This window comes from Homo sapiens, chromosome 1, assembly GCF_000001405.40.
Source record: "Homo sapiens chromosome 1, GRCh38.p14 Primary Assembly".
Lineage (NCBI taxonomy): Eukaryota > Metazoa > Chordata > Mammalia > Primates > Hominidae > Homo > Homo sapiens.
Genome location: NC_000001.11, coordinates 144,429,194 through 144,441,094, shown reverse-complemented (window position 1 = coordinate 144,441,094; position 11,901 = coordinate 144,429,194). Strand labels below are relative to the sequence as shown.

Genomic DNA, 11,901 nt, shown 5'->3' with positions numbered 1-11,901 from the left:
TGGATATCAAATTGTGTGATAATCATACAATCAATAGGATATTACTTGGCCAAAACAAAATGAAACAAGGGAAAAACACAATCAAACAAATTAGTGGCATATATACCCACCTGAGTAAAGAGAAGTCGGCCGGGTGCGGTGGCTCATGCCTGTAATCCCAGCACTTTGGGAGGCCGAGGCGGCAGATCACGAGGTCAGGAGATCGAGACCATCCTGGCTAACACAGTGAAACCCCGTCTCTACTAAAAATACAAAAAAAAAAAGAAAAAGAAAAATTAGCCGGGCGTGGTGGCGGGCGCCTGTATTCCCAACTACTTGGGAGTCTGAGGCAGGAGAATAGCGTGAACCTGGGAGGCAGAGCTTGCAGTGAGCCTAGATCGCGTCACTGCACTCCAGCCTGGGCGACAGAGTGAGACTCTGTCTCAAACAAAAAAAAAAAAAAAAAAAGTCAAAACAAGAGAACATACTAAATGATTCTATTTTTTTATTTATGATTTCATGACTACCATTAAGAAAATATAACCTGTTGGGAAACTGTTTCTGCCTTGATGATGTTGTACAGACAAGAGATAAACAGTGAGGAATATGCTTAGATGTATTGGGAAAGACATGGGTCTGTGGCATTGTCACAAGGGTACACGAATACTGAGAGTGAATGCTGAAGGAATGATCCCCATTGGTGGTGACCCTCAGGTGAGACTAGGGTGCCTGTGTTTCAGCAAAGCCTGGGCAATTGGAATGCAGGGCTCCTAAGATTCCATGACACCCCCACCTTCTAATTCTGTTATTGCAACTGCAGACGGTTACCTGGCACGCTGGCCACAATCTACCTCACTCTTATCAGAGTCTGCGCTACTGACAGTGCTTTCAGCTCTGAGTTGAGGCACCTCGAACCTTGTTTTTGTGGTGAAGGATCCTAAAGTGCTGTGGGGAGTGATCACATTTTTGACAACAGTAAGTTAAGAATTTCAGTTACTTACATCCCTCAGTCCTGATTAAACCTATTTGATTTCACCAGTTTTTAACCCATCATATGTTTGGGTTTCTTCTCCCCAGTCCCTGACTCCACCTCTTCTGCCACAAACGTCAGCATGGTGGTATCAGCCGGCCCTTTGTCCAGCGAGAAGGCAGAGATGAACATTCTAGAAATCAATGAGAAATTGCGCCCCCAGTTGGCAGAGAAGAAACAGCAGTTCAGAAACCTCAAAGAGAAATGTTTTCTAACTCAACTGGCCGGCTTCCTGGCCAACCGACAGAAGAAATACAGTAAGATCTATAGGCTCACCGTCATGAAAGTGATGAATGATGTCCTGTCTTCTCTCTGAGACACTAAATGCTCTCTCCATCAAAAATAATTTCATCCTTCCTGTACTTCTAGGAAAACAGAAATGGGTATTTTAACATTTTGTTAAAGTTGGAAGACAGAGGTACCAAAGTATTTAGCAACTTTCCATGTTTGCAATCAGGTGGGGGTGGGACTAGAGTTAAACTGCCATTTATTGATTTCTGACACAGGCACAGAATGACCTGTTTTCTCCAAGAGGCTCAATCATGTTTTCAAGAATCCTCTCTGTACCATATAAGATCCTGCAGACAAATAACATCTAGTCTGTTGTTCTAAATGTCTGAGACTAGTGAACTTTTCTTCAGTTCAAGTTTCTGTGGAGGCCCAACAGGCAAAGCTCTGTTCTAGTGACTCTGAGGGAAACTTGGTGATAGTAGCCAGTACCTGCTCTGAGGGGCTTCAAGAGGAGTCTACTCCTAATAGAACCTGTGCTGTCTATAAGTGACAGCATCAAGAGCAGGGAGTAGGGGCCGTGCATGGTGGCTCACTCCTGTAATCCCAGCACTTTGGGAGGCTGAGGCGGGCAGATCATGAGGTCAGGAGTTTGAGACCAGCCTGGGCAACATGGAGAAACCCCATCTCCACTAAAAATACAAAAAGTAGATGGGCGTGGTGGCAGGTGACTGTAATCACCCCTGCCTAGGAGGCTGAGGCAGGAGAATCCTTTGAACCCAGGAGGCTGAGGTTGCAGTGAGCCAAGATTTTGCCATTGCACTCCAGCCTGGGCGACAGGGCAAGACTGTTAAAAAAAAATAATAATAATAATGATAAATAAAAATAAGAATAAAAAGCAGAGAGTAGCTTGGTGAGAGTGAAGTCCTGCTTCCTGGGGCACAGAGTCTTGTTGCTAAAGAGGAAGAAAGATCGCATCCGAGAATGTGTGGAGATAACAGTGCAGTGTACAGAGCAGGGACTGTGGGCCTGTCTACTGGGCTCCATCCAAGTTGCTTGTCTTGTCTGTCCCTCAGTTTCCTCACCTGTTCAGAGGGTACTACAATAATACCTACCTCTGTAAATTGCTGCAGTGAATTACATGAGCTATTTCTTGTCAATCTCCTAGAACATTTATTGGCACACAGTAAACACTATCTATTAGTTGTTCATTCTGCTGTTTCTAAATTAACACAAACTTTATTAGCATTTGGGCATATTTCCTTCATGGCCTTATGGTGTTATGTGTCACTCTTTATGCTTCAGATATGATTCTTAAAATCATAACTGAAGATATGATTTAAAAATCAAAGATTTTAAAAATCTTTCACATACTTGTCCTTGAAATTCCCAGTAAAAGGGAAACCATCAGTCCCATAGTCCTAGGGGCCTTCCCGACTGTACGAGAAATCACTACTTCATGCCCCAGTGCAGTGTTTTAGAGGAGAGGCTGCAAGGCTTGGGAAAGTGGCCCCGCATTCAGAGTCAGACCTCAGGGACTGTGAATTCTGACTCCACTTTGTTGTGGTTGAATCATCTTGTCAACTTCCTTGATGTGCCCTTGAGGTTCTCTTTCTTCATCTCTAAATTTTGGAGGATCAGATGCCAGAAAGTCAGGAGACTGAAGAGTAAAGATGTGGAAATCCCTGTCTAGACCCTGGTACTGGGGAGAGTTTTGTCCTTGGGATGGACCTGGCTCCTGTCCTGTAGGCAATGACCACAGCAGCATGTCCAGCCTTCCACTGAGGCAGGCGTGTCTGTCTTTTCTCAGAATATGAAGAGTGCAAAGATCTCATAAAATTTATGCTGAGGAATGAGCGACAGTTCAAGGAGGAGAAGCTTGCAGAGCAGCTCAAGCAAGCTGAGGAGCTCAGGTGAGGGGACCCCATGGGGGCAGGCAGGGGGGCAGGTGTGTAAATCTCTGAAGTACAGCAGCTCGGTGGGGAGATGTAAGAGCTAAGCTGGGCCAGGGGAAGGGCAGGAATTGCCATGGCAGGCTCGCTACACACAAATATTTATCAAACAGAGAAGAAGGATAATAAAAATGTATGGGTTGCAGTTGTTTCTCAGAGCCTTGTTTTCTCTTTTTCAAACAAGTAATTGTTGATGTGAAATTTACATAACACAAAATTAACCAAAGGAGTGTGAACCACACAGCAGCATTCAGTATACTCAAAATGGTGTGCCATCACCACCCCACTTACCCTTAGTGAGAATCACCTCCTGACTGACTGCGGCTTCTCATTCTTTCACTCAATCAATGTTGCCTTCTCGACCCTGTCATTCTTTTCTTCTTTCGTCTTTTCAATTCACCCCATCTGCACCTGGCCTCATTTCTGTACATGGCTTTGTATCTAGTGGCCGCAAGATGCACTATGTGTATTTTCACATGGAAATGTCCATGGCCAGAGTGAGGAACTGAAAGGATGTCTTTTTGAAACGGAATTAGGAAGACACCTACTTTTGTTTACAGAAGAGAAAGATGAATGGAACATCATCGAGGATCTTGCAGGAGCCCTCTCTGATACAGAGGAAGCCTGTAAACCATTTTCTATTCTTTCTCTTGGCCACAGACATTCCTTTAAACATGTGCTGACCTTCTGCTTCGAGGTCTCCTTGAGGACATTGTCTCAGAAATCTCTGTTGCAATATTTGAGCGGATCACTCAACCCTTTCCACTCTTAAATTTTCTCTACCGTCTCACCTTAGGCAATATAAAGTCCTGGTTCACGCTCAGGAACGAGAGCTGACCCAGTTAAGGGAGAAGTTACGGGAAGGGAGAGATGCCTCCCGCTCATTGAATGAGCATCTCCAGGCCCTCCTCACTCCGGATGAGCCGGACAAGTCCCAGGGGCAGGACCTCCAAGAACAGCTGGCTGAGGGGTGTAGACTGACACAGCACCTTGTCCAAAAGCTCAGCCCAGGTAAGGTGGCCATAGGCCCTGATGACCCAAAATCCCAGGCTTATGAGAGACTCCAGACCTCCATACTTTCACAATGACAGTTGTATCAATGGTGTTTTTTTCCACTAAGCTTATGTGGCCATGACATGACCAGGACTTCTTGGGTAAGAACGGAGATGGGAAACCCATGGGGTTGGAGGTCACAGTATTGCAAGTGTCCCTCCTCCCTTGATGGAAGGTGGTCTTTGGAGTATGAGGCAGCATCTGTCTAGTTTTAAAGGACAGGAAGGAGGCTGCGATGGGAGCAGGCTTGTTAGAGTGAAAAGAGCTCTGGACTAAGAATGAAGATTCCCAGGCTGTCTTTTCGGCAATGTTCTTAGTAACTGTCAGAGAGTGAATGACTTGTCCTTCCTGAGTTTCTCTCTCTCCGTGGCAGACAAATTGTCTCTTGCAAGGGTCTGAAGCATTCAAATGTGGGAACACTTACAACTGCTTTCCAAAATGAGATGAAGGCCCTCACCGTGTGATGTTGGAGAAGGCACTTTATGTGGGGGCGTTTTGTGGTAGGAAGTGCTTCAGACTGGAGCACTCCCCATGGATAGAATGTCCCTGAATAACACAGCAGAAGCCACTTGGAGGCTTGAAATCTTCTGATGCATAGAGGACTGTGGGACAAGTTTGTCTGCTTCTAAGAGAAAGAATTAGGTTTGAAATGCAAACTGTGACGGGACACCAAGCCTGTGCCTGGGAATCAGATCTGGCAGGATGGGGGAGACAGCTGCCAATGTCCAGAGAGAGGCTGCACAAGCCTCCAGTGATATGGGAAGCAAAAGGTCTTTTCAATATTTGGCCACATCTTGATGGTGGCCCTCCAGATCAGAAATGCATTGCCTGATGGATCAGGAAACCATGCCAGGGCATTCTGTTAAAGATAAAACATGAGAGTTTTCAGTTGAACGGTGACCCATGCCTAGATGTTCATGTCTCTGTTGCACATTGGGCTGACTGTGCTTGCAGACTGTGAAGTGGGAAATATCTGAACGAACACTTCTGTATTTACAGAAAATGACAACGATGACGATGAAGATGTTCAAGTTGAGGTGGCTGAGAAAGTGCAGAAATCGTCTGCCCCCAGGTAACACTGAATACTCAGGAACAATTAATGGATGGTAACATATGAGGAATATCTAGGAGGCACACCCTCTCTGGCATCTATGATGGGCCAAAAACCCGCATTCGCTTGGCCACAGTATGTGAAATATAACCCAGCTTAGACACAGGGTGCGGCAGCTGTCATGTTTCTCTGTGTGTGCCGAGTGTCATGTCTGCACCGTACAGGGATAGCTGAGTCTTCATCCTCCTCAGCTCCTATCTGTCCAGTGCAATGAACAGCAGCTGCTCTCTTCCTCTCTGGTTCCCATGGCAGCCATGCTCTGTTGCAGAGAGAACAGGATTGCATGTTCCCTCTTAATGGGAACGTCCATTTTGCTTTCTGGGACCACTCTCTTAATGCCGCCTGTCAAAACCAGCTAGGACTCCCTGGGGTCCAATCCCTCTGTGTTTAATCTTCTGTCATCTCTGTCCCACCTGGCTCATCAGGGAGATGCAGAAGGCTGAAGAAAAGGAAGTCCCTGAGGACTCACTGGAGGAATGTGCCATCACTTGTTCAAATAGCCATGGCCCTTATGACTCCAACCAGCCACATAAGAAAACCAAAATCACATTTGAGGAAGACAAAGTCGACTCAACTCTCATTGGCTCATCCTCTCATGTTGAATGGGAGGATGCTGTACACATTATTCCAGGTAGCCTCTGTTTTCCTTGTGTCTCATACCTCTCTCTAGGCTGAGGAAGATAAACTCTGAAGACAGGCTCTATCAACACAAATTCATTTGAATAAAAAACTGTGATGGGTTTCTAAACAGATATCAGGGAGTTTTTTTGTCCTTCTCAGCTAATGTCATGCCTTTGTCTGCCAGTCCCCAGTATCAAGTTACTCAACCCCAGGCAAGTGTGACAATCTCATAGTCACCTGAGTGCAGGAGGTGCACAGGCCATATCTGTCAGGCCTCCTAGCTTCGATTCAGTATCTCTTGTCATCTGTGATTAAGTCATCTGTCCCTGAACAATGCCCATGGAGTTTCTATGCCTGTTTAAGGAAGCTGGCAGCCTTGCCTTTGTATTTGGAAATATCGTTCCTCAGGCTTCACTGCTCTCAGCTTTCATCTGGATCTCCTTTAAGTCAGCTTGCTTAGCTGCACAGTCACCCTGAAATCAGGACGGAAACTTTTCTTCTTTACTTTGCTGATATATTTCCATAAAGCAAGGCTGGACCCTGGTTCTCCACCCTGTCAATGCAATGGCTGATCCAATGTTTCTTTGTAGCATCGTGGATTTTTTTTTTTTTTTTTTTTTGCGATGGAGTCTTGCTCTGTCACCCAGGCTGGAGTGCAGTGGCACCATCTTGGCTTGGTGCAACCTCTCCCTCCCAGATTCAAGTGATTCTCCTGCCTCAGCCTCCTGAGTTGCTGGGACCACAGGTGCACAACATCACATCTGGCTAATTTTTGTATTTTTAGTAGAGACAGGGTTTCCCCATATTGGCCAGGGTAGTCCTGAACTCATGACCTCAAATGATTCACCTGTCTTGGCCTCCCAAATCACAGATTCTTTTTAAAGCAAGAGTTGTTCAAATTTATCTATCAGTCGTGTTTCATGTATAGATGCCTCTAAACATTTAATGTCCATGTTACCTGGTGATATAAGTCCGTATTGCAGCAACACTCTTAGAAAATTGTTTGACCAATTTTTGGAGATTTTTTTGGGGAAAAAATTTTGTTTAACTTTGACTCAGGCAGGGAATATGTCATTATGGTCTACACGTAGAGGGAGATTTTGGCCTGTGGGTCTGGAAAGCAGGGTCATCTAATTCTCACCAAAGTTAATCTAGGACACCCTAGAATATTCCTGTCAGAATCCTTATTCTTGCACTGAGAATAGTTATGTCCTTGTGCTATGACTGGACAGTGATTTGTTCCTATGTGAAGTATGAATTGCTTAATGTGACCTGCTTCTCTGAATTTATTTACAGAAAATGAAAGTGATGATGAGGAAGAGGAAGAAAAAGGGCCAGTGTCTCCCAGGTAATGTTGTGGAATTGTTGGCTGTTAATTCAGTAGTGACATCTGGAGATTGTAGATTTAGGGAAAATGAGGAAGTGATGAATAGAACTATTTCTTCCATTCACCCAGCTACAAATTGTGCTGATTTACAATGTTGTATGTTATTTGTGGCACTTGTATTGGTTTTAATTTCATAGTCCTCTCAAGATAGGAACTTGCCATCAGATGAGCCAGGTGAACTAGCCAAACAGGGTTTTCTTGTTGATCTTTTCAAAAAACCAGCCCTGGATTCATTGATTTTTTGAAGGGTTTTTTGTGTCTCTATCTCCTTTAGTTCTGCTCTGATCTTAGTTACTTCTTGTCTTCTGCTAGCTTTTGAATTTGTTTGCTTTGCTTCTCTCGTTATTTTAATTGTGATGTTAGGATGTCAATTTTAGATCTTTTCTGCTTTCTCTTGTGGGCATTTAGTGCTATAATTTTCCCTCTACACATTGCTTTAAATGTGTCTCAGAGATTCTGGTATGTTGTGTCTTTGTTCTCATTGGTTTCAAAGAACATCTTTATTTCTGCCTTCATTTTGTTATTTTCCCAGTAGTCATTCAGGAGCAGGTTGTTGAGTTTCCATGTAGTTGTGCGGTTTTGAGTGAGTTTCTTAATCCTGGGTTCTAATTTGATGGCACTGTGGTCTGACAGTTTGTTGTGATTTCCATTCTTTTACATTTGCTGACGAGTGCTTTACCTCCAACTATGTGGTCAATTTTGGAATAAGTGTGATGTGGTGCTGAGAAGAATGTATATTCTGTTGATTTGGGGTGGAGAGTTCTGTAGATGTCTTTTAGGTCTGCTTGGTGGAGAGCTGAGTTCAAGTCCTGGATATCCTTGTTAAGCTTCTGTCTCATTGATCTGTCTAATATTGACAGTGGGGTGTTAAAGTCTCCCATTATGATTGTGTGGAGTCTAAATCTCTTTGTAGGTCTCTCAGGACTTGCTTTATGAATCTGGGTGCTCCTGTATAGGGTGCATATATATTTAGGATAGTTAACTCTTGTTGAATTGATCCCTTTACCATTATGTAGTGGCCTTCTTTGTCTCTTTTGATCTTTGTTGGTTTAAAGTCTGTTTTATCAGAGACTAGGATTGCAACCCCTGCCTTTTTTTGTTTTCCATTTGCTTGGTAGATCTTCCTCCATCCCTTTATTTTGAGCCTATGTGTGTCTCTGCATGTGAGATGGGTTTCCTGAGTACAGCACACTGATGGGTCTTGACTCTTTATCCAATTTGCCATTCTGTGTTTTTTAACTGGGGCATTTAGCCCATTTACATTTAAGGTTAATATTGTTATGTGTGAATTTGATCCTGTCATTATGATATTAGCTGGTTATTTCGCCCGTTAGTTGATGCAGTTTCTTCCTAGCGTCAATGGTCTTTACAGTTTGGCATGTTTTTGTAGTGGCTGGTACCGGTTGTTCCTTTCCATGTTTAGTGCTTACTTTAGGAGCTCTTGTAAGGCAGGCCTGGTGGTGACAAAATCTCTCAGCATTTGCTTCTCTGTAAAGGATTTATTTCTCCTTCACTTATGAAGCTTTGTTTGGCTGGATATGAAATTCTGGGTTGAAAATTCTTTTCTTTAAGAAGGTTGAAGATGCTGGAGAGGATGTGGAGAAATAGGAACACTTTTACACTGTTGGTGGGACTGTAAACTAGTTCAATGATTGTGGAAGGCAGTGTGGCAATTCCTCAGGGATCTAGAACTAGAAATACTATTTGACCCAGCCATCCCATTACTGGGTGTGTACCCAAATGATTATAAATCATGCTGCTGTAAAGACACATGCACACATATGTTTATTGTGGCACTATTCACAATAGCAAAGACTTGGAACCAAGCCAAATATCCAGCAATGATAGACTGGATTAAGAAAATGTGGCACATATACACCATGGAATACTATGCAGCTATAAAAAATGATGAGTTCATGTCCTTTGTAGGGGCATGGATGAAGCTGGAAACCATCATTCTCAGCAAACTATTGCAAGGACAAAAAACCAAATACCGCATGTTCTTACTCACAGGTGGGAATTGAACAATGAGAACACATGGACACAGAAAGGGGAACATCACACACTGGGGCCTGTTGTAGGGTGGGGGGAGGGAGGAGGGGTAGCATTAGGAGATATACCTAATGTTAAATGATGAGTTAATGGGTGAAGCACACCAATGTGGACATGTATACATATGTAACTAACCTGCACGTTGTGCACATGTACCCTAAGACTTAAAGTATTAAAATATATATATCTGTATATATATATATATACATACACACAAAAAATAATAAAGGAAAACTATACATATGGAAAAAAAAAGAATGTTGAATATTGCTCCCACTCTCTTCTGGCTTGTAGGGTTTGTGCCAAGAGATCTGCTACTAGTCTGATGGGCTTCCCTTTGTGGGTAATCCGACCTTTCTCTCTGGCTGCCCTTAGCATTTTTTCCTTCATTTCAACCTTGGTGAATCTGACAATTAAGTGTTTTGGGGTTGCTCTTCTCGAGGAGTATCTTTATGGTGTTCTCTGTGTTTCCTGAATTTGAATGTTGGCCTTCCTTGCTAGGTTGGGGAAGTCCTCCTGGATAATATCCTGAAGAATGTTTCCCAGCTTGGTTCCATTCTCCCCGTCACTTTCAGTACACCAATCAAACGTAGATTTGGTCTTTCCACATAGTCCCATATTTATTGGAGGCTTGTTCATTTCTTTTTACTCTTTTTTCTCTAAACTTCTCTTCTCGCTTCATTTCATTAATTTGATCTTGAATCACTGATACCATTTCTTGCACTTGATCGAATTGGCTACTGAAGCTTGTGCATGCACCACGTAGTTCTCGTGCCATGGTTTTCAGCTCCATCAGGTCATTTAAGGTCTTCTCTACACTGTTCATTCTGGTTAGCCATTCGTCTAATCTTTTTTCAAGGTTTTTAGCTTCCTTGAGATGAGTTCGCACATCCTCCTTTAGCTCAGAGAAGTTTGTTATTACCGACTTTCTGAAGCCTACTTCTGTCAGCTCATCAAAGTCATTCTCCATCCTGCTTTGTTCCATTGCTGGCGAGGAGCTGCGATCCTTTGGAGGAGAAGGGATGTCAGGTTTTTGGAATTTTCAGCTTTTGTGCTCTGGTTTCTCCCCACCTTTGTGGTTTTATCTACCCTTGGTCTTTGATGATGGTGACCTACAGATGGGGTTTTGGGGTGGATGTCTTTTTTGTTGATGTTGATGCTATTCCTTTCTGTGTGTTAGTTTTCCTTCTAACAGTCAGGTCCCTCAGCTTCAGGTCTGTTGGAGTTTGCTGGAAGTCCACTCCAGACCCTCAAACAGGGATTTCTTGGTGTTGCCTATTCTCTCCCATGTGTTTAAATCCAGGGAGAGGTGTATACATGCTTTCTTCCTATTTGTTGGTAGTATGTTGGCTAGTATTTTTGCAAGAAAAGAAATTGAAAAAGTAAATATATTATATCAAAATATTGGGAAAATGGGGCCCTTAATACACAAGATCTGTGTCTGCACTGCGTCAAGAACTCTCTTCACTTGAATGCTGCATGTAAAATTCAACCCAATTTATGCAAAGTAGTTGAAGCCCTGTGTCAGTTCTCTGTGCTGCAAGTCATGATGGTAGTTTACAGGGAGAGTCTGGGTGCCCTGAGTTGGCTCATCTGTGGCAAATGTACTGAGCACATGCTGCCCATTTTTGCTGTGTCCCCAGAGCAGTCACCCTCCACCCTGTATTTAGAAGGATAGTTTTATTTCTCTTGAAGGAAAAATGCCTTTGGTTTCTGTGACCACTCCATTCTGTCTCCCATCAGATCATCTGGGAGGTTTTGTTGTCTAATGTCTGTTGGTTAAATCTTCTATCATCCCTGTCCTGCCTGGCTCATCAGGAATCTGCAGGAGTCTGAAGAGGAGGAAGTCCCCCAGGAGTCCTGGGATGAAGGTTATTCGACTCTCTCAATTCCTCCTGAAATGTTGGCCTCGTACCAGTCTTACAGCAGCACATTTCACTCATTAGAGGAACAGCAAGTCTGCATGGCTGTTGACATAGGCAGTGAGTACTCCATTGTGAAGGTGATAAAGCTCCAGTTCATGGCCCAGGTAGACCCCATAATCTTTGGGCCTTGTGCCCCTTGTTGGGCTGAGATTTGCCATCACCGTGGGCTGAATCTATATATCAATGTAGATTTCAATCACTCTGGAGTCGAGTCTGAAGCACAGGCATGGGGTGGGTCAGTGAGCTTTGCTCTCTTCCTAGTCTCAGGCCATGCCCGTGCCAACCTGGACTGACTGTCACGACATTGAACTCAAGGCAGGTGTGGCAAACTCACACCAAACTATGCAGCACATGCCCAGGAGCTGTCTGTCAGCTCAGCTCATCTGAATTAAATGTCTCTTGCCAGCTACAAAATTCCTTATGAGTTTTGTTCCCAAAGCATGTCTGTGTGGTTCTTTACCTGCCCAAGGCCAGTGTCACCCTTGTCTACTTCTCAGTGAAAGATGTGACCCAGGTTTCACTGAATTTATTCCCATTTTCTGTGTCTTCTAAGTGCGCTTGTT

General features: G+C 43.7%; 1 protein-coding gene across 55 annotated transcripts in view; it reads left to right on the top strand.

The window, feature by feature from the left end:
* NBPF15 (NBPF member 15) overlaps positions 1-11,901 on the top strand; it is a 40,280-nt gene that overhangs the window by 20,575 nt on the left and 7,804 nt on the right. For 45 of the 55 annotated variants that reach the window (NM_001385416.1, NM_001385377.1, NM_001385374.1 and 42 more), the window contains 8 exons: positions 800-954; positions 1,057-1,266; positions 3,048-3,150; positions 3,986-4,200; positions 5,242-5,314; positions 5,779-5,984; positions 7,271-7,322; positions 11,232-11,395. In NM_001385416.1, the coding sequence (NP_001372345.1) occupies positions 1,092-1,266; positions 3,048-3,150; positions 3,986-4,200; positions 5,242-5,314; positions 5,779-5,984; positions 7,271-7,322; positions 11,232-11,395 (988 nt within the window). In that variant the 5' untranslated portion in view covers positions 800-954; positions 1,057-1,091. Of the gene's footprint in view, positions 1-513; positions 694-799; positions 955-1,056; positions 1,267-3,047; positions 3,151-3,985; positions 4,201-5,241; positions 5,315-5,778; positions 5,985-7,270; positions 7,323-9,290; positions 9,375-11,231; positions 11,396-11,901 lie in introns of all 55 variants that reach the window. The other 10 variants (NM_001385443.1, NM_001385445.1, NM_001385442.1 and 7 more) reach the window with 5 other exon arrangements.